Source organism: Homo sapiens, chromosome 22 (genome assembly GCF_000001405.40).
Source record: "Homo sapiens chromosome 22, GRCh38.p14 Primary Assembly".
In the NCBI taxonomy this organism is placed as follows: Eukaryota; Metazoa; Chordata; class Mammalia; order Primates; family Hominidae; genus Homo; species Homo sapiens.
This window is the reverse complement of record NC_000022.11, coordinates 20,416,159-20,443,391: the sequence shown is the minus strand read 5'-3', so window position 1 is coordinate 20,443,391 and position 27,233 is coordinate 20,416,159. Positions and strand designations below refer to the sequence as shown.

General features: G+C 59.5%; 2 protein-coding genes, 1 long non-coding RNA gene and 1 pseudogene across 15 annotated transcripts in view, besides 6 other annotated features; 3 read left to right on the top strand and 1 right to left on the bottom strand.

Annotated features, from left to right (window-relative positions):
- Positions 1-1,873, top strand: part of KLHL22 (kelch like family member 22) — a 54,277-nt gene extending 52,404 nt beyond the window's left edge. For all 10 annotated transcript variants that reach the window (NR_033825.2, XM_017029025.2, XM_017029018.3 and 7 more), the window contains one exon: positions 954-1,873. Coding sequence is in view for 9 of the 10 variants with exons in the window: in XM_017029025.2 (XP_016884514.1) it covers positions 954-1,319 (366 nt within the window). In the remaining variant the exon portion in view is untranslated. The remainder of the gene's footprint in view (positions 1-953) is intronic.
- On the bottom strand, positions 189-5,396 carry LOC107985588 (uncharacterized). The gene is made up of 2 exons (XR_001755623.2): positions 4,881-5,396; positions 189-568 (listed from the first exon to the last, which is right to left on the bottom strand). It is a non-coding gene; the product is annotated as an uncharacterized LOC107985588 (long non-coding RNA).
- Positions 695-1,194: an enhancer, noted in NCBI's record as "H3K4me1 hESC enhancer chr22:20796485-20796984 (GRCh37/hg19 assembly coordinates)". NCBI's record gives its function as "activates a minimal SCP1, AML or CMV promoter by ChIP-STARR-seq in naive H9 embryonic stem cells {active_cell/tissue: H9 hESC(naive)}" and the evidence as "EXISTENCE:reporter gene assay evidence [ECO:0000049][PMID:30033119]".
- Positions 1,195-1,696: an enhancer, noted in NCBI's record as "H3K4me1 hESC enhancer chr22:20795983-20796484 (GRCh37/hg19 assembly coordinates)". NCBI's record gives its function as "activates a minimal SCP1, AML or CMV promoter by ChIP-STARR-seq in naive and primed H9 embryonic stem cells {active_cell/tissue: H9 hESC(naive and primed)}" and the evidence as "EXISTENCE:reporter gene assay evidence [ECO:0000049][PMID:30033119]".
- On the top strand, positions 5,567-18,808 carry SCARF2 (scavenger receptor class F member 2). Of its 4 annotated transcripts, none has more exons than NM_182895.5 (11): positions 5,567-5,810; positions 11,404-11,462; positions 11,546-11,647; positions 11,855-12,374; positions 12,484-12,702; positions 12,835-12,963; positions 13,559-13,662; positions 13,739-13,856; positions 14,052-14,167; positions 15,842-15,994; positions 17,110-18,808. In NM_182895.5, exons 1-11 carry the CDS (start codon positions 5,638-5,640, stop codon positions 18,015-18,017), a joined length of 2,601 nt encoding a protein of 866 aa, NP_878315.2. In that variant the 5' UTR covers positions 5,567-5,637; the 3' UTR covers positions 18,018-18,808. The 4 variants fall into 4 exon arrangements, with proteins under 4 accessions (NP_878315.2, NP_699165.3, XP_016884554.1 ...); NM_153334.7 differs by having other exon boundaries at positions 14,037-14,167; XM_017029065.3 differs by having other exon boundaries at positions 14,037-14,167; positions 15,774-15,994.
- Positions 12,353-13,192: an enhancer, noted in NCBI's record as "H3K27ac-H3K4me1 hESC enhancer chr22:20784487-20785326 (GRCh37/hg19 assembly coordinates)". NCBI's record gives its function as "activates a minimal SCP1, AML or CMV promoter by ChIP-STARR-seq in primed H9 embryonic stem cells {active_cell/tissue: H9 hESC(primed)}" and the evidence as "EXISTENCE:reporter gene assay evidence [ECO:0000049][PMID:30033119]".
- Positions 14,249-14,415: a silencer, noted in NCBI's record as "fragment chr22:20783264-20783430 (GRCh37/hg19 assembly coordinates)". NCBI's record gives its function as "represses an EF-1alpha promoter that drives an FKBP-Casp9 reporter gene in an ReSE screen in phorbol 12-myristate 13-acetate-treated (for megakaryocytic differentiation) K562 erythroleukemia cells {active_cell/tissue: K562(+PMA)}" and the evidence as "EXISTENCE:reporter gene assay evidence [ECO:0000049][PMID:32094911]".
- Positions 18,675-22,621: an enhancer, noted in NCBI's record as "VISTA enhancer hs1620". NCBI's record gives its function as "enhancer in: hindbrain (rhombencephalon)[6/10] | dorsal root ganglion[7/10] | limb[8/10] | branchial arch[8/10]" and the evidence as "EXISTENCE:transgenic organism evidence [ECO:0001131][PMID:17130149]".
- Positions 19,979-20,490: an enhancer, noted in NCBI's record as "H3K27ac-H3K4me1 hESC enhancer chr22:20777192-20777703 (GRCh37/hg19 assembly coordinates)". NCBI's record gives its function as "activates a minimal SCP1, AML or CMV promoter by ChIP-STARR-seq in naive H9 embryonic stem cells {active_cell/tissue: H9 hESC(naive)}" and the evidence as "EXISTENCE:reporter gene assay evidence [ECO:0000049][PMID:30033119]".
- On the top strand, positions 26,493-26,594 carry RNU6-225P (RNA, U6 small nuclear 225, pseudogene; annotated as a pseudogene).

The following is a 27,233-nucleotide window of genomic DNA, read 5'->3' as shown; positions in this document are numbered from 1 at the left end:
CCATCTCAGGGTCTGCACCCTTAATCCTTTTTTTTTTTGTATTCTTGTACCCTTGATCCTATCTGCAAAGCCCCTTTGGCTGCTTAAGGTAGCATATTCTGGAGATTAGGAACTAGACATCTTTGGGGGCCACTATTCTGCCCACCATAGCTAGAGAACCAAAAACGGCTAATCAGTCAAGAAGGTAAGATTTTTATGGCTCTTAATACTTATTGCCAAATTCCTTTTCTGGCATGTCAGACAGATACATAGTAGTATGGCTTTACCACACCCTCAACAGCATTGGGTTTTGTGATTTTCCTTCTCTGCAGTGGTTGCTAGTTGAAAAATTTGTCTCTGATGTTTTGATTTTGCGTTTCTTGAATTACTAGTAGGTTGAACATTTTTCCATGTCTTTGTTTACTGTTTGGACAATTTTGAAGACAAGAGAATATTGATGTTGACTACTCCGCAAGGAATTACTTCCACTTTCTGTCTCCTCCCCCTGTCCTACTGCCTGTGTTGAGTGCTGCAGAAGGAGGTTGAAGACATTTCAGTGGAGTCCATGTCTCTCAGGCAGCTTCGTTTCCTGGAGGGGAGAGAAGCAGTGCCCTCAGACATGGGGAATGACCACATGCTGATGGGGGCACAGCCACACACTCGGGGGCAGAGACTGGCTTAGGGCCGGGTGGCCTAGAGGAAGGGCTGGGCTGGAGCAAAGCCAGAGAGAATAGGATCATTCTAGGGGAGGGCCCAAAAGACAGCCTCCTGCAGACTCGGCCATCCCTGGGTGAGAAAGCAGCAGCCTGGCCCATGGACAGGATGTTTCAACACTGGCCCTGTGCCATCCTTCCAGGGGGCCTGACCTGTCAGAATGGTGGGTAACTGTTGCCACCTTGGTCAGTGGGCTTGTGGGGGAGCTGGCAGCCTCGTCCCAGTGGGTGCTGGGCTTTATTCTAGCCTTGGCTTTGCAGGTGGCCTGCTACAGCTGCACGTCTGGACAGTGGTCATCTGTCTGCCCACTCCCTGCTGGGCACGGTGAGCCTGGCATTGCTGTGCTGGACAACAGGATCTATGTGTTAGGTGGCCGCTCACACAACCGCGGCAGCCGCACAGGCTACGTGCACATTTACGATGTGGAGAAGGACTGCTGGGAGGAAGGGCCCCAGCTGGACAACTCCATCTCAGGCCTGGCGGCCTGTGTGCTCACCCTGCCCCGCTCCCTGCTCCTTGAGCCGCCCCGCGGGACCCCTGACCGCAGCCAGGCCGACCCGGACTTTGCCTCTGAGGTGATGAGTGTGTCTGACTGGGAGGAGTTTGACAACTCCAGTGAGGACTAGGCTCCCTGTGCCTGGCATCAGAGGGAAGGGAGGCTGGGGCTGCAGGGCAGTGAAACCCACGCAGCCTAGGCCAGAGCACTTTACTCCAGGCAGGGCCCCTGCCCCTGTTGGCCACAGCTTATGGGCCCTGCCCTCTTTCTTCACACCAGCCCCTTGGCCAGCCTGCCGCAGGCATCTCAGGGCCATGCAGATCCCAGGCTGTGGATTACGTCACTGCAGGAACTGCTTCTGAAAGGCTTTGGCCTTCCTCAGTGAGCCCTGGAGGGGTTGGCCTTCTCTCCTCCCTGCCTAGATCAGTCCTTCTCCAAAAGGACCTGGGAGCTGGCAGCCTGGGCAGGGGGGCTGAGGCACGTGGTAGCCCTCTTTCTGTGAATGGGGTGGGGCTGTGGGGGCAGCTGGGGTTGGAGGATGAGAGCTCCTGAGGGGCAGAGGAGCAGAGATGCATCAGCTCGCCTGGGACTGGCTCTGTGATAAAAAGACCCCTCCCGCTGGGTTTTCAGACCCCATGTTGTTGGTCAATGAAATAAAGCATCTTACAGAAGGTGTTAACTGTTTTTCTGTAGCCACAGCCTCAGTTCCTTTCCACAGTGCACCCAAGCTGCGTCCCCAGGAAGCGTGGCTTCTGGGGTCAGAGCTGCCATCTGGGAGAGGCTGTGGAAGCCCAGGCCAGAAGCCAAGTGGCACTGGGAAGACCCTGCCTGAGAGGGAAGCACAGTAAACTCCACAAGCTAACAGGGCACTCAGTGGGAAAGCTGGAACTCGCCCTGGTCTGGTGACAGGTGGTTGTGCAGCCACTTGAGTGTCTTCTCTGGTGTGGAACTTGTCTCCCAACCAGGGCAGCACGCAGAGTTTCAGCCCAGCTCGTTAGGAGTCTCTCAGCCTGAGGGTCAGGGAACCAGAGCTTCAGCACCTGGGAGCGGGGCAGCATCAGGGGGTCGGTGGGGGGGGCCCCTCTGGCCTGTGCCCGGCTCCTCCCAACCTCCTGAAGCTGAGTGTGCTGGGGAGGGGAGCTGCATGTGCTACAGGTTTGCCAGGTAACCCTTAGGCACCCAGTCTCAAGGACCACACTGGCACAGCAGCTGGGACCCTCCCCTGTTCACCTGTCCCCATGCTTTTCTTGCCCTCTTGAGACTGCCAGGCTTAGCCTGCACCCTGCATGGATGGGCTGTGAGCCCACACCAGCCTCACTGCAGGGCTGCACCACACGAAGCTTTCTTCCATCCTGATGCCCTCATAGGGTCTGCACCTGCAGACTCCTACTATGAGCCTTGTGCCCAGAGCCATCCCGCAGACAGGGCTGTAACTTGCCAAGGCCCCATCCTTTCCCAGTTGACTGGGCAGAGCATGGGGACAGCCATGTGTTCCTGCTGGCATCCTGTCCCGGAAGAGAAGGGGGCAGTGTGTGCTCCTTGATGGGAGGAGAGGGGATGGGGACGGGGGACTATCAGTCACTCTGGGCTCTCCTAAATGGATACCCCAAGGATTCTTGAGGGTAGAGACAAAGCCCTCAGAGTTGGCCTGTGCCCCCAGGGCTGTGGTATGTGGGTGTGTGTGTAACCTGAAGACCTTCCTCACTGTCCTGGGCCCTGAGTACCCCTGAGGAAACATGACATTGCCTTGGGGTGGCAGACCCAGTGTTGAGCCCTAGTGGGGCGGGATGGCTATACACTCCAGTGTCATCTCCCTTTCTCCTGAGGGTGAGGCGCAAGAGCATGGGTTCAGAGTAGGAACCCCACTCTGTGGGTCTCAGACCCAGCACTTCCTGTGTCTCTGCTACCACCTGGCAGGCCAGGGCAATAGCTCCTGCAGACCTCAGAGGTTTCTGGAAAGGAGGAGCACCAGACATGCCCCACCACTCTCCAGTGCGTCCTGACAACATGCTGGCTGGCAACATCTCACCTGAGCCACCAGCCACAGCCACAGGTTTGCAGGAGGCCTCTGGTCTGCAGGGGCAGGAAGGGCTCACTGAGGTCCTGCACAGCCTGGGGAGGGGTGGAGAGTGCCTTGGAGTTGGGCGCAGCCTGGCCCTGCCACTGTCAGCCTTGGGGCTAAGCTGGGTTTCTAAGGGTTACACCTGATACCCCGGAGCTGAGGCAGCCCAACTTGTGCTCTCCAGTGTGGCTAGGCTCTTGGTCCCTGCTTTCATGCAAAACCCTCCTCAGCCTTCAAAGTCCACTTCCTTCTGGCAGCCATCCTGGCCAAAACCAGCAGGCCAGGGCTCCGGGCTCCAGCAGTTTGCCTGCGTGGTGGTCAATTGTCTGTGGGTTCCTTCTACATCCTAGTGCCATGTGGATGATCCTTCATTCCTCCCATACTTCTCAGTCTTCCCCTAGGGGTGCAGTGGTGGTTGGGAGAAATGAGGGCTCTGCCCATGACACCCAAAGTTGCCATCTACTGCAAGGGATGTATGTACCGGGTCGTGAGGTGAGACTGGGGATGGTCCTCATCCTGAGAGCAGTGGTGGATAGCCACATGTGAGATTAAAAAGACTACTCTGGGTGGCAGACAGGGGTGGGCAGAGATCTAAGACATTTAGGAGGTCCTGGGGGATTGGGGGGCACCATCCAGGTGGTGCCCTCCCTGGACAGGTCTGGGGGAAGGAGAAAGGTGATGGAATTTGATATGCCTATTCATGACCTCCATCCAGCTGAGGTGAGTGTCCCCTCCAGCCCAGGGGGTCAGTGCCTCTAAAGCCAGGAGCTGGGCTGGGACAGACCTTGCAGCCACTGGGACCTCTGCTGGCCTCTATTGGGAGCCGCAATCCGGATCCTCCGTGGGAGGGGCCCCAGCACTGGGAGGGCATTGCTGAGGTCAGGGCTGTGCCCAGGCTGAGCTGCCCAGAAGTGGTTGGCCTGTTTATTTGTCCCCAGGTAGTTGCATTCGTGTCCACACTAGTTCCACTTCTCTTTCAGCCCACCCCACCTCCCTCCTGCACCAGCATGGCTGAGTGAGGGGCCTGCTCCTCCCCATCCCACTCTCTGCCTGTGCCAGCCTGGTGATGCCCATGGCCTTGGGCCTTTCAGTGGCTCCTCCTCCAAGCCCCCTCCTCCAGCCCCACCCTTCGGGGCTATCTGGCCACACCTGGACAGAGTCTGCCTGCCCTCCCTCAGTGAGCCTGTGGGCCGCATGTGGCCTGCTCCCCAAAGAACGGAGGTGCCCGCTCCCTGCTTAGGCCTTCTGCCAGCTCTCAAGTCCCCAAAAGACAAACATCCTCACTAGGACCTGGCTACACACGGGACATTTGTGCTCCCTGCCCAACTTCCAGAGTCGGTCTGCCCCAGTTGCCCCCCGGGGACCCGCACCCTGCTGCCTCCCAGTCCAAGTCCAGCTTCCCCGCTGGCTCCCTAGGGCCTGTCCCTCTGTCTTGCTCCCTTCCCACACCTTCCTTCTGCTCTGTGCTGTTACCCACCTTACCTGATGCAGGAGTTCCCACTCTCTAGCCCCAGCCTCTCCTGGAAATCCGACAGCCAGCAGAATCCACCGCCCAGGCTCCCCCAGCCCCCTTCACTCCTCAACTAGGACTGCAGGGTTTCCATCCCGGGGGTCTCCTTCTGTCTTTACCTCTACTTCCTACCGCAGTCCACAGCCTGGCCATTCTACTTCCTCTGTATCTCTCCCATCCGTCCCTACGGAGACCCCTTCCCCCAGGCCTCTGGTCCGGACCGAGTCTACCACAGGCCTCAAGCATCCTGCTCGGTCCGCCCCTTGCGAGCTCTGAGTGCGCAGGAGTGCGCAGGGGGAGCTGACCGCACACCCCAGCACTACAAGGACTTCGCGGTGGGGTGCTGTGGAGTTGGCTTTCGGCCTCGACCTGGGCTGTCTGCGGGCCCCACTCCCTTGGCCGGTTCCGAGGCGCTGGGAGCGGGGGTGGGCTTGCGGAGTCGCGTCCGTGTCCCCGATCCGCCTTCCCGTCCCGGGCCTGGCCTACGCAGTGGGCGCGCAGGGGCGGCTGCTTCGGTAGATGTCTAGGGAGCGGAGGGAAAGGCGCGGGAACCGGGGATTCCTCGGGCGGACCCTCCCTCCACCAGCGCTCGGCGGGCCTCCTCCAAGTTCGCCCCCAAGTTTGCGAGCGGCCAAATGGGGGCGGGGGCTGCGCGGAGGGGCGGTGGCTAGGCCGGAGGGTGGGGTCTGGAGCGCGGGGCGGGCGCTGCCGCCTGGCCGGCCGCGGCTGGCCCGGGATCAGGGAGCCGATGTGGAATTTCCTGCCCGGCTCGGCGCCCCTCCTGCCGCCCCCCGCCCGGCCTCGCACTCCGCTTCCGGCCGCTCTCGCTGCGGCCGCACCCGCGCCCGTGCCCGCCCCGCGCCTGCCCCGCGCCTCATGGAGGGCGCAGGGCCCCGGGGGGCCGGGCCGGCGCGGCGCCGGGGAGCCGGGGGGCCGCCGTCACCGCTGCTGCCGTCGCTGCTGCTGCTGCTGCTGCTCTGGATGCTGCCGGACACCGTGGCGCCTCAGGAACTGAACCCTCGCGGCCGCAACGTGTGCCGTGCTCCCGGGTAGGAGCCGGCCTGGCTGGGGGAGGGGGCGAGAGGGACGCTCTGGGCAGTGGTGTGGCGGCGCCGGGCATTGGGAGGGGGCTACCGGAACCTTCCTACGCCAAGTGTGGGCCCCTTCGGCTCCCTAGCCAGCGCGGCTCCGTTCCAGGCCCAGCCTCGGCCATGGGCCACGACAGTGCATCCCAGGGAACCCTGGACGAGAAGTCACCTGAGGGGAGGATGGAGTGCCGTGGGCACCCAGGGGATGACACGCGTTGTCCGGGATATCAGGAAAGACCTGGAAAAAGGGACCCTTGACCGAGTTGTGAAGTCCACGGGGAAAAGCTGGGGAAGGGCATTCAAGCCAAAGGAACTGCATGTGCTAAAGCCCCGCACTAGTCCGACTGGAGCCGGGAGTGGGAGTGAGGAGGAAGGTCAGGGGAGGAGGAGCGGTGCTAGCCGGGGAGGTCCTGGAGCAAGCCAGACTTGGAAAGACAGATTCGCGTCTTAGAGCGGGCGCGGGTGGGAGGGTGGTGACCCAGGCGAGCGTCGAGGAGCCGGCGCTCGAAGTGGACCAGAAGCGGGAGGCGGAAGGACTATGACAGGCACAGGGGACCGGAGGATGTGGGAACCCTGGCGACAACCAGGTGGGGATTCTGGGTGCAAGAAGGGGCCGCGCAAATGTGGGGCGCCGGCTGGGGAAGCCAGTGTGGGACAGGCAGGCGACAGGCCCGGCCGGTGGGGGGGCGAGTCCGGGAGTTTGCACGGAGGGCAGAGAGGTGAGCCCCGGACGCCAGGAGTTAGGAGCTGGGGTCGGGGGAGCCGGTGGGCTGGCCAAAGGCCACAAGGTCAAGGGCATCTCCACGCAGGGGTGAGGAGCGGGCGTGTGGGGGCGCCTTGGCGCGGATTGGAGACGCCGCACGGGCTGGCAGCCGCAGAGGCGGCCGCCGGGCTCCGAGCTGGGTCGCGTCGGGGCGCCTGAGCCACGGACCCGGGGCAAGCCGAGTCCAGGGGCTCGGCGCCAGAGACAAGGGGCTGCGAGGGGGCAGCGCGGGGTTTCCGAACTCTGGTCCGGAGGCGCGCAGACCCCTCCCCGCTGCGAGCCCCGCCTCCGGGGCGGGGGCCGGCCTGGCCCGCCATCTGCTTCGCATCGATGCCGCCGCCGCGGACTCCCGGGCCTCCCCGGCCCCAGGAATGCAGCGGCGGCGGCGGGCGGGGCGGTGCCTGGAGAGGGGGAGGGCGCGATCGCCGTGGTCTCTGTCTACTCACTCCAGCCCTCTTTCCCAGACAGGCCCGGGACCAGGAATGGGGGTCCGGTGCCAGGCTCTAGCTGTCCGGAGCCTGAGAGCCCTTTGCTCCCGCTCCCCTGGTCTGCAGACCTCCCAGGAGGCGCCTGCTCCAGGAACCGAGCCTGGGTTTGGGTTCCCATCCTGGTGCCACCCTACCCAGCTGTGTGGACCTGGGCAAGTCATTTGACCTCTCTGGGCCTGTCTCCACCTCTGTAAAATGGGATAGTGATCACAACCCCCTCATGGGGCTAAGTGGAGATCGCTGTGGTCATGAGTGGCAAGGGTCGATGGGAAGGACAGCCACTCTGGGCACTGCCCACCTGGGGTCTGGGTCATGTCTTTGTTGTCCTCCCACATCTTGCAAGGCTTCCATCAGCCCTTCCCTTTCCTGGGAGGCAGGAGGATGGGGAGAGGAGAGTGCAAAGCCAGTAAAATCCTATGCACCTACACTGTGCCAGGCCTGTATTGGTGTAGGGAAGCTGCAGTGGAGACCCTGACCCTGTGGCAGAGGAGACACAGTCCAGAAAAGCAAGTGTGTCTAGACATCTAGCAAGAGCTGGGAGGTGTTGGGTTGGGGAGTGCTGTTTCCTTTAGGGTGTTCTGAGGAGAACGGCTGAGAAGGTGGTGAGTGAGCACAGGCCTGCAGAAGAGCACGGAGGCCCTGTGGGTGTCTGGGGCAAGGTTCCCAAGGCAGAGGGCCTGTGGAAGTACAGGAAGGATCCAGGAGGCTGGGCAGAGTCCAGGAGGGGCTGGCGGAGGAGCTGCCAGAGAGTGAGGGTGGGCAGGCCACCGTGGGCTGCCACTGCTCAGAAGACTTGGGCTTTTCTTCTGAGGGCCATGGGACCCCCTGGGGGCTTTGTACAGAGAAAGGGTGGGATCTGACCAGGATTGGCTGCCAGGTGGCAAACACTTCGCACCCTGGGGGGCAGGGGGTGGAAGCTGGGGCCAGTTACAAAAAGCCAGGGAGATGGAGGGTGGCTCTCACAAGGCTGGGATAGGGAAGGAGGAAGTGATCCCATTTTAGATATCGTTTAGAAGCTAGAGCTCAGCGTCTTTTTTCTCAATGGATCTGGTGTAGACAAGAAAGAAGAGTCAGAGATGCTTCTCCAGGTCTCAGCTTCCCAGCCTGAAAGGACAGGCAGGGTTATCTGAGGCAGGGAAGACTCAGGGTGCAAGGAGGTCAAGAGTTCAGGTTTGGGCTGGTTGGGCATGAGGCCCATGAGGTCTCCTTCTGGTGACATCATCTATTGGGCAGTTGGATTTGCAAGTCTAGCATTGATGGGGAGAGCCCTGCTGGAGGGTCCAAGGTGTTGTCAGTGTTCAGTGAGCTTCCCGAGGGAGCTAGTGTGGACACAAGAGAGATCTGAGGATGGGGACAGAAACCAGAGGAGAGGTGTCCAGGCGGGGCAGCAGGAGGGTCGGGCTGGTGTGGGGTCTGAAGGGTGTGGCAGGCAGAGAAGCTTTTCTGCCTGGATTTGGGGGAGAACATGGACAGGTATGGACCCCATGAGCCAACTTGAAGATGTAAGAACTCACAGTGGGTTTGAATCACAGAACTAATGCTCTACGAGGGAGAAGCCTACGGCATGTCTTGCTTGCTGAGGGGCCTGGGCCCAGCCTATGGCCTGGCTTCTGAGGGTCTTGCCGACTTACAGGGCAAGCGTGGGAGCAGCCCTGCAGCAGGCCATCTTTCCCCACCCGTCTTTGTAAGATCTTCAGAGAGTGGGCTTGCCACCACCACCCGGCCTTTTCTGCCAGCCCTTCCAAGAAGGAAAGCATCTTGTTCTCAGTGAACCCAAATGGACTCTGTCCTGCTGGTGGGCATTAGCTCTGCTGGGGTTAGGCCTGGGTGCCCGCTAAACCAGAGATGACCGAGTGCACTCAGAGGCACTGCAGCCTGTGCTCAGGATCCTTTGTGCTTAGTATGTGCCAAACCACTTCATAGGTCTTGGCGCGCGCTCTCTTTCTCTCTGTCGTCTTTCTCTGTCTCTCTCTCTCTCCTATCTCTATCTCTCTTTTTGAGACAGGGTTTCACTCTGTTGCCCAGGCTGGAGAGCAGTGGTGCCATCACAGCTCACTGCAGCCTCAAACTCCTTGGGCTCAAGCAATCCTCTTGCCTCAGCTTCCTGAGTAGCTGGGATTATAGGTACATGCCAGCACGCCCGGCAAAAAAACATCTTGGCTCTCTTAATCTTTCTACAGTAGAGCCCTACTATATAGCTAAGGAGCCTGAAGCTCAAAGAGCTTAAGCTGCATGCCTGAGGTCACACAGCAAGTGGCAAACCCAGACATCAAACCCAGCTGAGTGTGGCCCTAAAACGAGGGTCCTAGCCACAGAGCCTTATGTCCAGGGCAGAAGGGGGTTAGTGCTTCCGGGGCAATTCCAGCAGGCCACCTGGCAAAGCTCCCCACAGGAGGGACACCTGCAGAGGCTCTCCATCCAGTGAACATGGTTCAGAAGCAGACACAAGTGGGTGGGTGATGGCCAGCAGACCTGGGTCTCCCTGCAGATGGGCACCTTGGTGCCCCCTGGGTCAGGGCTGGGTGGGTGGAGACAGTGGGGGCAGGGGCCAGGAAAAGCCAGGCCTTTGTATTCCTGTCTCTGGTTTCCAGTTTTATTGTGGAAAATACACTGGACCAATTCCCCAAAGTTTGAGATTTTATGGTCCTGTTCGCCAGGTCCCATCTTTGGCCTGAAGGAGAACCAAGCCTTGTTCAGGAGGAGGGGCCTCGAGGCCTAGGTGCTCTGTACAAGGGGTGGTATTCTGTCTAGCTGGGGAATGGCTGGGGCATCCTCGGAAGCCTGGGCAGGAGCATGCCAGGCATGTACTATCCTGAAATGCATGGTGTAGGGCCAGTCTATCCCATCCCGCTAGGGTCTTCAGGCTTCCTCCCAAACTCCGCCCCCCACCACCTTCCGGTTCTAGATTCAGATACTGAATCCAAGCCTGCTTGTGAAGAAGCGTGCTCCTTTTCTCTAAAGTGCGAATGGCTGTTACATGCCTTTAGGATCGAGGCGAAGTTCTGGGTCGGCTGGGAACCTAGGATCCCGCAGCCTTGGTGGCTCTTCCTTCTCAGCCTCCTCTGCCCCTGAATGTGGGCTAACCCCAGCTCATCCCCTACGAACCCTCTCTAGCCATCATGGCTTCACTCAGGCAGGGCCTCCAAACCTTTGTGCTCACACACCCCATCCACCCAGGGTTTTAGAGGTTGTGCTCTCCTGAAGTGCTGCGGTAGCATTGTGTACTCTGTAAAGCCAAATCAAATGGAACAAGTGGAAGACAATCAGCATAAACAGGCCGGGCACGCTGGCTCATGCCTGTAATCCCAGCACTTTGGGAGGCCGAGGCGGGCGGATCACCTGAGGTCAGAGTTCAAGACCAGCCTGGCCAACATGGCGAAACCCTGTCTCTAGTAAAAATACAAAAATTAGCCATGTGTGGTGGCACGTGCCTGTAATTCCAGCTACTTGAGAGGTTTGAGGCAGGAGAATTGCTTGAACCTGGGAGGTGGAAGTTGCAGTGAGCCGAGATCGTGCCACTGCACTCCAGCCTGGGCAACAGAGCGAGACTGTTTCAAAACCAACAACAAAGGCATAAACAGATGCTCTAATAGCTCCTTCCTCCACCCTGGTCCCTGAGCCCTTTTGCCACAGTTTGACTTTCCTCCTGCACGTGGAGGACTCCCCATGTGCCTGCTCCTTCCCTAGTGGCTGGGTGGGCCTCACCCCACCTCCCTCCAGAAGCCCCTCTGCCAAGTGGTCACCTCACTGTGTCTACATGCCACCCCCCGTCCCCCTGTCCAGAGGCTGCCCCTCCCCACTGGAGCTCAACCCCAACTGGGCATCTAGGTGTGTCCCTGTGGCCCAGCTAGTCCTAGTGCCGTCCTCATCATGTCACATCACATGACATCTGGATCCATGACACCCATTAGGCTGGGCCCTCCACTTGGAGGGATGCCCTAGACCCTCACATTTGGGCAGGTCCTGAGGCCCATGGTCTTCTCCCTGGCTGCTGCCTCACTGCTGTCCTTCCTGGGACTCCAAGGCCACTTTTCTCAGGCCTAATGGCTGTGGGAGGAGGACACAAAGGAGTTAGGTGAGATGGGGTGGGTGGTTCTGGGCTGGAAAGTTCTTGGCGGTGAGGTCTGTTTGTGGCAATCCTCCACCGCCAGACGACTGCCTGGCAGGACCTCATTAACCACCCCCCTAGGACAGGAGCGCAACTGCAGAGGCAGGGAGGCTGTGCGGAGGCTGCGGAGGAGCCCGGAGCAGATGGGGGCTGGGGGAGGGGCATCGGGCTTAGATGTCCTCCCTCTGCTCGCAGCTCCCAGGTGCCCACGTGCTGCGCTGGCTGGAGGCAGCAAGGGGACGAGTGTGGGATTGGTGAGTGGGTCATCCCGGGGACCTGGGGCGGGGGAGGGGGCGGGGCTAGGACGCGCAGCAGCTCTGGCCTGTCTCGTCCACAGCGGTGTGCGAAGGCAACTCCACGTGCTCAGAGAACGAGGTGTGCGTGAGGCCTGGCGAGTGCCGCTGCCGCCACGGCTACTTCGGTGCCAACTGCGACACCAGTGAGCGTGGGGTCGGGCCGGTATTGGTCGGTGGGGCGGAATCCTGGAGAGATGGGGCGGGGTCCAAGGTGGGGCGGGGTCGGATCCGCCTTCGGGGCGGGTCCCCAGAGGTGGCGGCTGGAGTGCGGGACGCGGGCAGGTTCCGGCTGGCTGGGGGCACCTACTCAAGCACCGGGGCCTTCCACCCCCTCCGCTCCTCCCCTGCAGAGTGCCCGCGCCAGTTCTGGGGCCCCGACTGCAAGGAGCTGTGTAGCTGCCACCCACACGGGCAGTGCGAGGACGTGACAGGCCAGTGTACTTGTCACGCGCGGCGCTGGGGCGCGCGCTGCGAGCATGCGTGCCAGTGCCAGCACGGCACGTGCCACCCGCGGAGCGGCGCGTGCCGCTGTGAGCCCGGCTGGTGGGGCGCGCAGTGCGCCAGCGCGTGCTACTGCAGCGCCACGTCGCGCTGCGACCCACAGACCGGCGCCTGCCTGTGCCACGCAGGCTGGTGGGGCCGCAGCTGCAACAACCAGTGCGCCTGCAACTCGTCTCCCTGCGAGCAGCAGAGCGGCCGCTGTCAGTGCCGCGAGCGTACGTTCGGCGCGCGCTGCGATCGCTACTGCCAGTGCTTCCGCGGCCGCTGCCACCCTGTGGACGGCACGTGTGCCTGCGAGCCGGGCTACCGCGGCAAGTACTGTCGCGAGCCGTGCCCCGCCGGCTTCTACGGCTTGGGCTGTCGCCGCCGGTAAGCGCGGTCTCTCGGCCAGGGAGGGAGGAGGTGGAAGGGCGGGCCGCCGATGGGGACAGGGGTGAGGCGGGTCCCAGCCTTCCCTAGCCTCCGACCCCTCCCCCAGGTGTGGCCAGTGCAAGGGCCAGCAGCCGTGCACGGTGGCCGAGGGCCGCTGCTTGACGTGCGAGCCCGGCTGGAACGGAACCAAGTGCGACCAGCCTTGCGCCACCGGTTTCTATGGCGAGGGCTGCAGCCACCGCTGTCCGCCATGCCGCGACGGGCATGCCTGTAACCATGTCACCGGCAAGTGTACGCGCTGCAACGCGGGCTGGATCGGCGACCGGTGAGCAGCCCTGCCTGCGTCGGCCCAGACACGCAGTCCCCCGCCCTGCCTCCCTAACAAAGGCCCCAATGTCGAGGGCGCTGTGGTCCGTTTGCCTCCATTTCTGCTGACGCCTCCTCCCCTCTTTCCAAGGTGCGAGACCAAGTGTAGCAATGGCACTTACGGCGAGGACTGCGCCTTCGTGTGCGCCGACTGCGGCAGCGGACACTGCGACTTCCAGTCGGGGCGCTGCCTGTGCAGCCCTGGCGTCCACGGGCCCCAGTGAGTGCCCCGGGACCGGGAGGGGGTTGGGGGCTTGTACCTGCCACAGAGGGGGGTCCAGCCGACGAGGTGGCCTCTCCACCCTGAGCTGGGTTATCACCTCAGCCTTGGTCCCTTACCCCAGCTAGGGAGTGACAGTAGGCTCTTTGGGGGCAGTTTCCTGCCTGGATGTCGGGGAGCTCACGTTCAGCGCAGGATCTGGTGACCAGTCCAGCCTGTGTCAGTGGGCTCTTAAGGTGACCCCGAGTTGGTACAGAAGGACCAGGGACCTCCACTTACAGCCAAGGGTCTGGTTCAGCAGCCCCTCTTCCCACCTAGCCGAGTCAGCCCCAGCAGTGGGCGCTGCGGCGCGGCCACCACGGGTCCTATCCCCCAGGCCCCCCCACTAGTGTTGTGCAACATTCGTTTCCAAAACATCCACTACCCAATATGTGCCACGGGCGGGGCGGGGCTTCAATCCCTAGACGACGAATGCAGCGAGAGAGAGCCCGGTTCTGGGACCCTGGACCCTGGGCCCTGGCCGCGGGTGAGGGGTGAGGGTAGGGGGCATCCTAGGGGGGCGGCTGTGGCATGCCTTGACCCTATGTCCCGGCAGCTGTAACGTGACGTGCCCGCCCGGACTCCACGGCGCGGACTGTGCTCAGGCCTGCAGCTGCCACGAGGACACGTGCGACCCGGTCACTGGTGCCTGCCACCTAGGTAAGTGGATGAGGGGCGTCCCGTTAAGGAATGCAGGGGGTGCCAGAAACCGCGCTGACCCCATAACCCCCTACAGAAACCAACCAGCGCAAGGGCGTGATGGGCGCGGGCGCGCTGCTCGTCCTGCTCGTCTGCCTGCTGCTCTCGCTGCTCGGCTGCTGCTGCGCTTGCCGCGGCAAGGACCCTACGCGCCGGTGAGCCCAGATACTGCCCCGCTTTCGCCTGGGTTCAGGCCGCACCCTCTGGGTGCCACCGGACCCAGATCCAACCCTTCCGCGCCCCTGCCCCGGACGTGGCCCCGCCCCTTCTGTGCTTGGCTCCGGCCGAGATCTAATCGCCCCTGGGCCCCGCCCCGGCCCCGCCCCTCCGCTCAGACCCCGCCCCCGCAGGGAGCTTTCGCTTGGGAGGAAGAAGGCGCCGCACCGACTATGCGGGCGCTTCAGTCGCATCAGCATGAAGCTGCCCCGGATCCCGCTCCGGAGGCAGAAACTACCCAAAGTCGTAGGTAAGGATGACAGCGCGGGGTATCTGGGAGAAACACCTCTCGACGCAGGAAGCTGCTGGGAAATGGGTGTGAGGGGGTCCAGATCTCAGTGAGGAAATGGGGGACCTTGAGTGTTGATGTGCGTGGGCGCGAGGAGGTGCGACCAGAGGGAAGGTAAGAGGTGTGGCAGCTGCTGAGGGCGAGGCAAGGTAGGAAGGCAGGAGTCCTAGGTGCGCCGGCTGATGTGGGCATATGTCAGAAACGTTGGCCCTGAGAGTGATCGCATCAGGGGTGTGTGGACATCTGGGTCCCGCAGGCTCCCCCAGTCTGTAGGAGAATGCTGTATATCCCGGCCAGAGCTGCTGGGGGAATGCGTGGCCACGGGAGTGCCCTGCCCCACGGAGAGGACCCACCCTCCTGCCTACATCCCCAGCAGTACCCAGAGATCCTCCTGGAAAGTGGGCAGGCTGGTCCCCACCCACCAACAGGATAGGGGGGTGGGGTGTGCCGCTTCTCTCCATGCTGACTTGCACCTGGGTGGACCCTCTCTTCCTCTCTTTCCCACTTATTTCTAAAGATGGAGGGGAAGGGGGCTCAGACTCTTGGGAGATGAAGGAAACAGCTGAGAAAACCCCTTAGCCAAGCCGGGCATGGTGGCTCATGCCTGTAATCTCAGCACTTTGGGAGGCCGAGGCAGGTGGATCACCTGAGGCCTGGAGTTCAAGACCAGCCTGACCAACATGGAGAAACCCGGTCTCTACTAAAAATACGAAAGTAGCCGGGTGTGGTGGCGCATGCCTATAATCCCAGCTACTCTGGAGGCTGAGGCAAGAGAATCACTTGAACCTGGGAGGCAGAGGTTGCAGGGAGGCAGAGGTTGCAGTGAGCCGAGATCGCACCATTGCACTCCAGCCTGGGCAACAAGAGCAAAACTGTCAAGAAAAAAGAGAAGAGAAGAGAGGAGAGGAGAGGAGAAGAGAAGAGAAGAGAAAAGAAGAAAGAGAAGGAAGGGAGGGAGGGAGGGAGGGAGGGAGGAGAAACCCCAAAACTGTCGAAAGAAAAGAAAAAGCAAGCAAGCAAGAGAGAGAAAACCCCTTGGCCCACCTAGCAGCATGGCATCTGGGGACATAGGTGTGGGGAGTGGACCCCACATCCCTCTGTGGAATGGAGGCCAGGCTAGCCAGCTTCTGGGGCCCCCTGTTGTGGGGTCTGCATCTCTGGAGGCCAGGCCTAGGGTGCAGCTTGCTGAGATGGGCTGAGCCAAAGGGCAGCCCTGCCACTGCGCATTTGGGCTCAGAAGTGCTCCAAGGCTTCCTTATTCGCACAAGGCAGGGCCTAAAACAGAGCTTGGAGGCCTTGGTGGCCTGTCCCAGCCAGGTGTCTTCTTCAGCCCCGTCTCCCACCTTTCTGGCCTTTTCTCAACACGTCAGCCCAACCTTTTCCAGCTCCCTGGATGCACACACTTGCCTTGCACCTTAACACATGTTGTGCCCATGTTTCTTTTCTGGGTTCACCTCTACCCATTCTCCAGTCCTGGCCCAGTGTCACTGTACCTGTTGAGTTGCCTGTGCCCCCTGCAGTCCAAGAATAGGGCTGGTCTTGGTCACCCCATCAACATTTGTCACAGCAGGGGCTAATGAGGGCACCGGCTGGGGCAGAGTGGACCCCTGGCAGCTCTGCCTCATCCTTCCCCAGTGGCCCACCACGACCTGGATAACACACTCAACTGCAGCTTCCTGGAGCCACCCTCAGGGCTGGAGCAGCCCTCACCATCCTGGTCCTCTCGGGCCTCCTTCTCCTCGTTTGACACCACTGATGAAGGCCCTGTGTACTGTGTACCCCATGAGGGTAAGTAAGGCCCTACCTGGGCATCACTCCAGCCCAGTGAAATGTTCCCATGGAAAAGCTGTGTTCTGGGTGGGACACAGGAGAAGGGCAGGCAGCATGGAGAGGAAGGCCTTGGCCATGCTGGTACCTGAGGGTTGCCCACAGAGCTGAGGCCATAGAGCTGGACTCTGCTGCTCAGTACCGGAGACAGGTGTGGGGAGATGGGTAGGCCACAGCCCAGGGTTGCTCCTGGGGGAAAGTAGGCAGAGAGAAGTTTCTGGGCTTAGGTAGGGGGTGGCAGAGGAGACAGGAGGAAGGGATCCACAGAGTATGGGAGTTGGATCCACACACAGCCTTTGATCCACAGATAGCAGAAAGGAGCCTGATGGTCTGGGATTCTGCCCTGTCTCCTCCCTTGACTGTGCCCCCAGATGCCACGGGCAGGTGACCAACTCAGAGCCTCAGAAGCCTTATCGCTCTTTTTTTTTTTTTGAGACGGAGTCTGCCTCTGTCACCCAGGCTGGAGTGCAGTGGCATGATCTCCAGTCACTGCAACCTCTGCCTCCTGGGTTCAAGCAATTCTCCTGCCTCAGCCTCCCGAGTAGCTGGGATTACAGGCGCCCACGACCACGCCCAGCTAATTTTTGTATTTTTAGTAGAGACAGGGTTTCACCATATTGGCCAGGCTGGTCTCAAACTCCTGACCTCAGGTGACCGCAGCCTCCCAAAGTGCTGGGATTACAGGCGTGAGCCACCACGCCCAGCTAGAAGCCTTCTCTCTTAAAGAAGGATAATGGAACCCCTGTGGGGATGTTCCAGCCTCAAATTCGATGATGCAGGCGCCCAAGGCTGGAGGGGTGTTGGGGCAGGGCTGCCAGGCCAGGCCAAGGTTGGGCTTCAGTCGCGGGAATGCGCCCATCACTCCTTGCACAGCCTGAGTTCAGAGTCAGCCGCATAGCCTGAGGCTCTGAAGTACACATGTGTGGTTGGTGCTCTGTGCCAGGCACGTCTAGATGCCAGGGTGACACAGTGCCAAGGGCGTGGGTAGAGGAGGAAAGGTGAAGGTTTGCGCCTGGAGGTTGGAGCCCCTAAAGGTATTCCTGAAGGCTGTGACCGCCCTGCTCTTCCCTTGCCAGAGGCACCAGCGGAGAGCCGGGACCCCGAAGTCCCCACTGTCCCTGCCGAGGCGCCGGCGCCGTCCCCTGTGCCCTTGACCACGCCAGCCTCCGCCGAGGAGGCGATACCCCTCCCCGCGTCCTCCGACAGCGAGCGGTCGGCGTCCAGCGTGGAGGGGCCCGGAGGGGCTCTGTACGCGCGCGTGGCCCGACGCGAGGCCCGGCCGGCCCGGGCCCGGGGCGAGATTGGGGGCCTGTCGCTGTCGCCATCGCCCGAGCGCAGGAAACCGCCGCCACCTGACCCCGCCACCAAGCCTAAGGTGTCCTGGATCCACGGCAAGCACAGCGCCGCTGCAGCTGGCCGTGCGCCCTCACCACCGCCGCCAGGCTCCGAGGCCGCGCCCAGCCCCAGCAAGAGGAAACGGACGCCCAGCGACAAATCGGCGCATACGGTCGAACACGGCAGCCCCCGGACCCGCGACCCAACGCCGCGGCCCCCCGGGCTGCCCGAGGAGGCGACAGCCCTCGCTGCGCCCTCGCCGCCCAGGGCCCGAGCGCGGGGCCGCGGCCCCGGCCTCTTGGAGCCCACGGACGCCGGCGGTCCCCCGCGAAGCGCGCCCGAGGCTGCCTCCATGTTGGCCGCTGAGCTGCGCGGCAAGACTCGCAGCCTGGGCCGCGCCGAGGTGGCCCTGGGCGCGCAGGGCCCCAGGGAAAAGCCGGCGCCCCCACAGAAAGCCAAGCGCTCCGTGCCGCCAGCCTCGCCCGCCCGCGCGCCCCCAGCGACCGAAACCCCGGGGCCTGAGAAGGCGGCGACCGACTTGCCCGCGCCTGAGACCCCCCGGAAGAAGACCCCCATCCAGAAGCCGCCGCGCAAGAAGAGCCGGGAGGCGGCGGGCGAGCTGGGCAGGGCGGGCGCACCCACCCTGTAGCAGGCTGTGGCTCGTCCGCGCGCAGCTCCCTCAGCTTCGCAGCGCCGCCCGCCACCCCACACCTCCCACGCTACCGGGCACGGGCGGCCTCCTATTGGCCGGGCACCGCGCGGCTAGCGGAGGTTGCGTCTCATTGGCTCAGGTCCTGCAGCCGCTCCTGGATTGGAGCAGTGTGCTCTGGCGGGAAGGGCCCATCCCGTTGGTCGAGGCCTGACAGGCGCTTAGCGGGCGACTCCCTCCCCATTGGCCGAGTTATGGAGCGCTCCGACCAGACAGCGTCTCATTGGCCAAAGATGGGAGGGTTCCGCTTAAAGACCGCCTCTTACTGGCCAGGAGTGGACTTGGTTAGGGCTACCTTCTCATTGGTTGCAGCCAGAGGCACTTCTGCCCGGGCTGCCTCTCCCCCGCTAGGGCCTGGTGCCTCTGGCTGGAGGCTCCCTCCCTTGGCCGTCCCAATAGAGCCCGGGGCTACTTCCACTGGCCAGGCTCCCGGGCATCTGGTTGACCCCAGCCTGGGGAGGAGGGCTGGTCTCCGCTCCTCAGGGGCTTAGTCCGTCCCACCCCTTCCCTTCCCTGGCGCCCCGGGCCCAGGCCCCTCAGCTGTCAGCTGGTTTTGATGGCCTCCCACTGCCCCACACGCCGCGGGACCTCCAGGGGCGACTCTAGTGGCCTGAGGAGATGTATTTATAGGCCCCCAGCAGGGCTGCTCCCCCCTCGGCCGGTGCCCCAGGATGGGCTCCTCCCGGCGGGGGCTTGGCCAAAGCTTTCTTAATAAAATGCCTTTCCCCTCATGCTCTGATCACTTCCTGTTTGCAGGCTTCGGCCAAAGATGCCCCCCAGAAGTAACTTTATGTGACGACCTGTCCTGCACTCTCCCCCACCCCTTATCTCAGCGGGGAGCCCTGGAGCCCAGGCGTGGGTCTCCCGGGACCATGGTGGAAGTGGGCTGTGTCAACCCACAGGCTTCGTTTGTTTATCAAGTTTATGCGGCCCCGATCTGGCCTGCCCCATTCTGGACTGGTCACGGGGAGGAAGGTTGGGTGGGGGCAGATCAGGCAGAGTCCCTGACTGAAAGGGACAGGCGATGGGCCTGCCTCGGATCCCGGCCTTTTCCCCTGGCCGCTGCTGTTAAACTTGGGCCTCAGAGCTGTTGGTGGCAGCTTGCGGGGGGTGCAGAGGCTGCGGCCAGGGGGCCGCGGGCGCTTACTCCAGCCGGGCCTCCTCCAGCACAAACAAGCCGGTCTCCTGCTGCACAGAGCCCTGCTGTCTGCCTCAACGGGTTCCTTGTCCTCAGCCGGAAACTCTCCTGCCTGCCAGCCCCGCCTGCTACTGCGGAAGGTTGAGGGAGACGGAGGGAGCGCCCGGGGCAGATCCCCTGCCCCCAAGCCAGACCCGGCTGCCTGGCTATCTGTGACCATCTGTGCCCTACGGCCTCGCTGCTCCTGACCCGCCTACCCTCCCGGGCAGGCCTCCTAAGTGACCCTCCTAAGCCGCAGACCCTCACCTTCCATGGCCCCTGCTGTCCCCACACTAAGTTCCCCCAGCTCCTGCCTGTCTGTTCTCCTCCCACCTCCTGCCTCTGCCCGGCAGGCCTCTTCTTGTTCTCCTGCATCTCATCTTTTGATGCCCAGCTCAAAGTCTTCCCCTGCTGCCAGGATCTTCTGATCACCCTGCAGCCGCCACACAGCACTCATTGGTCTCACGCTGGCAACTTGGGGCTCTCGTCCTGGGCACACTCTCATCCTCTGACCAGATGCCCCACGGAGGTCAACTTTGGTCACCCATCTTAGAGGGGTCACCCATCTCAGAAGGCCCAGCCATCTGAGTGGAGACTGCGTCCTGCCCTGGGTCGGCCGTCCAGAGCAGCTGGCAGGACACAAACAGGCAGCACGTGGAATGTGGGATCCCTGCCTCTGGGCCATACTGCTTCCCTGGAGCCAGCTGGGCACCCTCCCAGCCATGGCCCTGTGGCTGGAAAGCCTCTGCTCTGTTTGGGCACTGCGCCATGCGGGCTGCTGGGGTTAAGGCCAAGAGGGCAGATGCCCAGCCGGGCTCCGCGAGGGCAGGGCAGTGCCTGCGTGTGGGTGAGGGGTGGGCAGTGCAGGGGCTCAGACCACATTCTTGTCTAGGCGGTGCCCACCCCCCAGAACGATGAGGATGCCACACTGCTGTTCCCTGAACCCCCAAGCCCTCAGCTCTTGCTATTTCTCCTCCCCCAGCCTGGACCAGCACGATTTGGAGAGAACAGGGATGTCCCAGTGACCAGGCCTTTCTGGGGACCTCTCCTTGCCCTTCTCTGGGAAGCCCCCTAGGTGTCGAAGACTCTACCTGTGGGTGCCTCACAAAACAGGGGACCCCCCCCAACCTACCACCAGCCTTCCCTTCCCCCCAGGAGGGTTCCAGTGGCTGCTGGGAAGGGAGCTGCTGGGACCCCTCCAGCCTCCTGCCTCCCACCACCCGCTTCTCCCCACCCCCTCGGGGCTCACAGCAGTGCCAGCTCCCAGGGCAGGCGCCACAAAAGGGAACCGCGGCTGCTGGAACCTCCGTTGCCATGGGGATGGGGACCACAGGACCCACATCTGGTAGCGATTGAGGAGGAAAAATTATGAGTGGTGGAAAACGCAAATATTTTTTGTAGCACAGAGCACAATGGAGTGGGAGGAATGTGGGGACCAGGCCCAGCCTGGTGGTTACAAGCAGACGCAGGCCACAGCACACAGAGGCCTGCAGACACTAACCCTACGCCGCATGCACGCTCCTCTAGACTCAGAAACACCAACACAGACACACAGCCCGAAACGCAGACATGCACACACAAAGCCAGCAGAATCTCAGAAACACAGAGACGGCACACACACTGCAACAGACGCCCACACAGCACTGGGCCCAGAGGAACACAGCCACTCACCTGCCAACACACACACACACACGACACTCCATCAGACAGAAACACTCACTCTCCAACACACACACACAACCCACCGCTCACAGAGACAGACGCGCTGTGACACACACACAGCCAGCCCACTACTATGGAGGACACTCAACCCACACCACGCACATAAAAATGGAAAAAAAGACTCACTCTGCAACATACAACATGTATCACCAGACACAGAAACACCAAGACAGAGACTCATTGCAGCACACACACCATAGGCCACATAGAAACCACAAGATAGACACAACCCTGCGACACACACACTTCACCAAAGTCAGAAGCAGATATATATCATACAAAATACACGTGCGGCCGGGTACGGTGGCTCACGCCTGTAATTCTAGCACTTTGGGAGGACGAGGCAGGCGGTTCACTTGAGATCAGGAGTTCAAGACTAGCCTGGCCAACATGGTGAAACCCTGTCTCCACTAAAAATACAAAAAATTAGCTGGGTGTGGTGGCAGACGCCTGTAATCCCAGCCACTCAGGAGGCTGAGGCAGAAGAATCGATTGAACCCGGGAGGCGGAGGTTGCAGGTGAGCTGAGATCACACCACTGCACTCCAGCCTGGCGACAGAGTGAGACTCTGTTTCAAACAAACAAACACACAAAAAAACACACACCTGCACACGACCCGACACACTCAGATACTGAGACAAACACATTCCCTGCAACACACACAAACACACAATCCATGATACACCGACAAAAGAGACACTCATCCTGCAGACACACATCTTCCACCAGATACACGGAAACATGAGAGAAACACATTAAACACACTACCTGCAGCACATAGCTCACCACCAGACAGAAATGCAGACAGGCTGGGTGCAGTGACTCACGCCTGTTAATCCCAGCACTTTGGGAGGCCGAGGCAGGCAGATCACTTGAGATCAGGAGTTTAAGACCAGCCTGGCCAACATGGTGAGACCGCATCTCTACTAAAAATACAAAAAATTAGCCGGGCGTGGTGGCATGCGCCTGTAATCTCAGCTACTTGGGAGGCTGAGCTGGGAGAATTGCTTAAACCTGGGAGGCAGTGTTTGCAGTGAGTGGAGATCGCATCACTGCGCTCCAGCCTGGGCGACAGAGCGAGACTCTGTCTCAAAAAAAAGAAGAAGAAGAAAAAAAAGAAATGTAGACACAGATATGCACCCTGCACCCCCCACATCACACTCACAGAACACACCTCATCCTGCAAAACACACACACACACACACACACACACCCTCTGACACACAGAAACACCAAGAGACCCTCACTCTGCAACCATAGACACCTTCCACCAGACACAGAGAAACAGCAACTTATACAACCTGCAACACACACATGTGCCACCAGAGCCGACTAAATACTGAGACACACACATCAGCCAACACACAGAAGTGTAACCATCCTACCGACAGATGGCATACACAGCATCCATGCCCTACTAAGCATGGAGGCGGGCACCCACCCTAAGATGCACTCACTGCACTAGAAACAGATCATGAGGCCCAGCGTGGTGGCTCACGCCTGTCATCCCCACACTCAGGAAAGCCAAGGCAGGAGGCGCACTTGAGCACGGGAATTCGGATAGTATCTGTGGTCTTTCACCCTGCAGATACACACACAGACATGCCACCAGGCACACAGAAACACCAAGACACAGTGGGAACACGCACACTGGAACACACAAACTCCTACACACACAGGAGAACGCGGAGGCCGCTGGCAGTACTGAAATTCATCTCAGCCCTGGGTTCCAGGGAAATGGTGCTCACTGAGAAATTGCCTCTTCCTTTGCGTTCTGAGAAATAGTGAGACCAGAAGGAGCACTTTGCCCTTGTCCATTCTAAGACCCCGCCTCCAGCCTTCCACATGAGTCTCTTATTTACCAGGCCCCTCCTTCCTCATTAGTGAGTTTTCTTCCCATAGCAGTAGCCTGAATAAAGTCATCTCTTTATGTGTCTGGTGCATTCCCCCCACAGTCTTTGTGCCTTGACCTGGCATGGGTTGGACTTACCTTCCCATCCCCAATGACTGCAAGCAGGTGGTGAGCCCTCTCTGAGACCCGCAAGCCGCCCCTGACTGGCCATCAGGGTGGGGGACCTTCAGTGAGTATGACCCCTGGTTGTGTGCTCCTGGCTTTTGTCCGTTGGTGGCATAGTGACAACTTTATTTTGATTCTTTCAGTTTCATGGTCTGAACATTTGGTGGTCTCTTTAAACAGATTGGTGGTTTATAGACGTCTTGTCTCTGTTGGGTGAGAGACGACAGTGTGTGGTTTGAGAGTCTTTTCTGTTTGTTCATTTGTTTAATTGAGTTTAGTTAAAAATTTGGGCTAAGATTGGTGGCTCACATCTATAATCCCAGTGCTTTGGGAGGCTGAGGTGGGAGGATCACTTGAGGATAGGAGTTCAAAACCAGCCTGGAAAACATAGCAACCCCCATCTCTAAAAAAAAAAAAAAAAAAAAAAAAATTAAAAATTTAGCCAGGCACGGTGGTGGTGTGCACCTGTAGTCCCAGCTACTCCAGAGGTTGAGGTGGGAGGATCCCTTGAGCCCAGGAGTCTGAGGCTCACCACTGTACTCCAGCCTGGGTGACAGAGTGAGAACCTGTCTCTAAAAAATCCAAGAATTTGTCCCCAGTGGGAAGATGGTTTGGAGATGTGATCAGCCACATCCATGGATGGAGCTGTGCTGTCATTTAGGTAGGTTGGATTGGCTGTCATATGCATAGGTAAGCGACACACCCAACAGTTAGTATGCTTGAAAATAGGCCTGTTCCTTGGGTGGGGCTAACATGCAGAGGATTGGTAAAGCCTCCTGAGAGGGCGGTGGGGTCAGGGCTGGGGTTAGGAGGGCAGAGGTCAGGGCTAGGGTTAGGAGGGCAGCCTGTAAGAGTTGAAAACAAGTTAGTGAATTTGTGGTGGTTGGGCTGCCAGGGAGGAAGAGGAGTGGGAAGGGTGGGAGGAAGGCCTTTGACAGGGGTACAGTAGGAAGCAGGGTGTAGAGGAGTCAACCTGGGGCCAGTTCAGTTGTTGTGTGGACGGTGGACAGGGGTCATCTATCTTCGGGTGAGGTCATTGTCTCCATGAGTCCAGCTGCAGGGCTGAGGTCACTCACCTGGTAAAGAAGCTGGTTGGGGTGAGCTCCTGGGCCTCCCTGAGTCTGCAGTGACCTTCGCCCAATAATGGACCTCGAGACATAACCACAGCACTGTGGTTGGACAGTGCCAGTGAAGAAGCCATTGTCCTGCTGTCACATTGGGGATACCGTAATTCCAAAGCTGCCTGCTGCACACACCCCACCAGAGGTATTCCAGCGGCTGCTTCCTATTAATAGTCTGACGTGCATTGTGAGGGGCAAAATGTGCACACATGACACTCATTCGAGAGCCTCAGCAGTGGGCATTCCAATTACACTGCTGCTTCCCGTGTGTGTGTGTGTGTGTGTGTGTGTGTGTGTGTGTGTGTGTGTGTCGGGGGGGCTCCTTTATGAGTTAATTTTTTTTCTGAAACAAAAAAAATTGCTTAAATTACTTATTTGGCCAGGCGCAATGGCTCACGCCTGTAATCCCAGCACTTTGGGAGGCCAAGGAGGGTGGATCACTTGAGGTCAGGAGTTCAAGACCTGCCTGGTCAACATGGTGGAACCCCGTCTCTACTAATAACACAAAAATTACCCGGGCGTGGTGGCGCCTGCCTGTAATCCCAGCTACTCACTGCAACCTCCGCCTCCCGGGCTCCAGCGGTCCTCGTCCCTCAGCCTCCCGGTATTTGCTGGTTTTAGAGGCGGAGTCTCGGCAGGTCGACCCGGCTGGAGCGCAGAGGCTATTCCCAGGCGCGATGCCACTACTGACGCGCTCCGTTTCCAACTGGGGCTGCCTCGCCCCTCCCTAGGCGGCCTGGTGGCAGAGGCCACCATACTGATGCCGGCTTCAGTGAGGACCTGGATCGGCACAGCGCACTGCAGCGCAGAACTCCCGGTCACGCGATTCTCCTGCCTGGGCCTCCCGAGCAGCTGGGACCGCAGGCACGCGCGGCGCCGGCCCTTGGAGCTCAGAACCGCCTTTCGGACTGCATCCGGCACCAGGCAGCCAGCGGCTAGTGGGGGCCATGGAATCGTGCTGCCATCTGGCGGCTGGATGGGTAGCTGCTGCTTTTTTTTTTTTTTTTTTTCTTCTTTTTGAGGCACGGCCTCACTCTGAGGCCCAGGCTGGACGCAGTCACTCAATAACCGCTCACTGCAGCCTCCATCCCCCGGGCCCAAGACATCCTTCCATCTCAGCCTCCGAAAGTGCTGAGATTACAGGTGTGAGCCACCGCACCGGGCCGGTGCCACCTTTTTTTTTTCTTTTGAAACAGAGTATCCACTTTATCGCCCAGGCTGGAGTGCAGTGGCGCAATCTTGGCTCACTGCAACCTCTGCCTCCCAGGTTCAAGCGATTCTCCTGCCTTAGCCTACAGAGTAGCTGGGATTACAAGCGCGTACCACCAAGCCCGACTAATTTTTGTATTTTTAGTAGAGACGGGGTTTCACCATGTTGGCCAGGCTGGTCTCGATCTCCTGACCTCAAGTGATCTGACCACCTCGGCCCACCGAAGTGCTGGGATTACAGGCATGAGCCACCACGCCCGGCCGGTAGCATCTTTGAAGAGCCTAAACAAGTGGGGGTAACAGCCTGGGGGAACTTCGGCGCAGTTCTGTTTGTGCGGCCCGGTGGGGCCTGCTACGGGGATGTGGTGTCCCAGGCCCAGATTATCCCCCAAAGTAGGCATAGCCAGGTGAGGACAGCCAGAAGTCAGCGACAAATACTGTGCAGTTCCATGTATGTGGAGTATCTAGAGGAGTCAAATTCGTAGAGACAGGCGGGGCGAGGTGCCTCACGCCTGTAATCCCAGCACTTTGGGAGGCGGAGGTGAGTGAACCACCTGAGGTCAGGAGTTTGACACCAGCCTGGCAAAAATACCAAAAATACAAAATTTACCAAAAATACAAAAATTAGCCGTATGTGGTCGTGTGTGCCTGTAATCCTAGCTACTTGGGAGGCTGAGGGAAGAGAATCACTTGGACCCGGGAGACAGAGTAGCGGTGAACCAAGATTGCGCCACTGCCACGGCACTGCACTCCAGCCTGGGTGACGAGCAAAACTTTGCCTCAAAGAAAACAAATGAACAAAAACAAAACAAAACAAAAAAATTAGCAGGGCATGGTGATGTGTGCCTGTAGTCCCAGCTACTTGGGAGGCTGAGGCAGGAGAATCGTTTGAACCCGGGAGGCAGAGGTTGCAGTGAGCCGAGATCACGCCACTGCACTCCAGCCTGGGCGACAGAGCAAGACTCCATCTCAAAAAAAAAAAAAAAAAAGAAAAAAAATTCTGTAGAAACAGAAGGTGGAACCGTGGTTACCACGGGCTGGGAGGTATGGGAATTAGTGTTTAATAGGAATGCAGAGTTTCAGTTTCGGGTGATGAAAAGATTCTAGAAATAGATGGCAGTGAATGTACTTAATGTCACTAAACCGTGCACTTAAAAATGATTAAAATAGTGCTCGCTTCGGCAGCACATATACTAAAATCAGAACGATAGAAGTTTCTCATGGCCTCTGCCCAAGGGTGACACGCAAATGTGTGAAGCGTTCCATATTTTTATTTTTATTTTTTATTATTTATTTATTTATTTATTTTGAGACGGAGTCTCGCTCTGTCACCCAGGCTGGAGTGCAGTAGCACAATCTCGGCTCACTGCAAGCTCTGCCTCCGAGGGTCATGCCATTCTCCTGCCTCAGCCTCCCGAGTAGCTGGGACTACAGGCGCCCGCCACCACGCCCGGCTAATTTTTTGTATTTTTAGTAGAGACGGGGTTTCACCATGGTCTTGATCTCCTGACCTCATGATCCACCCGCCTCGGCCTCCCAAAGTGCTGGGATTACAGGTGTGAGCCACCGCACCCAGCCAAAGTGTTCCATATTTTTAAACAGATATATAGACCAATGGAACAGAACAGGGACCTCAGAAATAACACCACATATCTACAACCATCTGATCTTTGACAAACCTGACAAAAACAAGAAATGGAAAAAGGATTCCCTGTTTAATAATGGTGCTGGGAAAACCGGCTAGCCACAAGCAGAAAACAGAAACTGGACCCCTTCCTTATACCTTATACAAAAATTAACTCAAAATAGATTAAAGACTTAAATGTAAAACCCAAAAACCGTAAAAACCCTAGAAGAAAACCTAGGCAATACCATTCAGAACATAAGCATGGGCAAAGACTTCATGACTA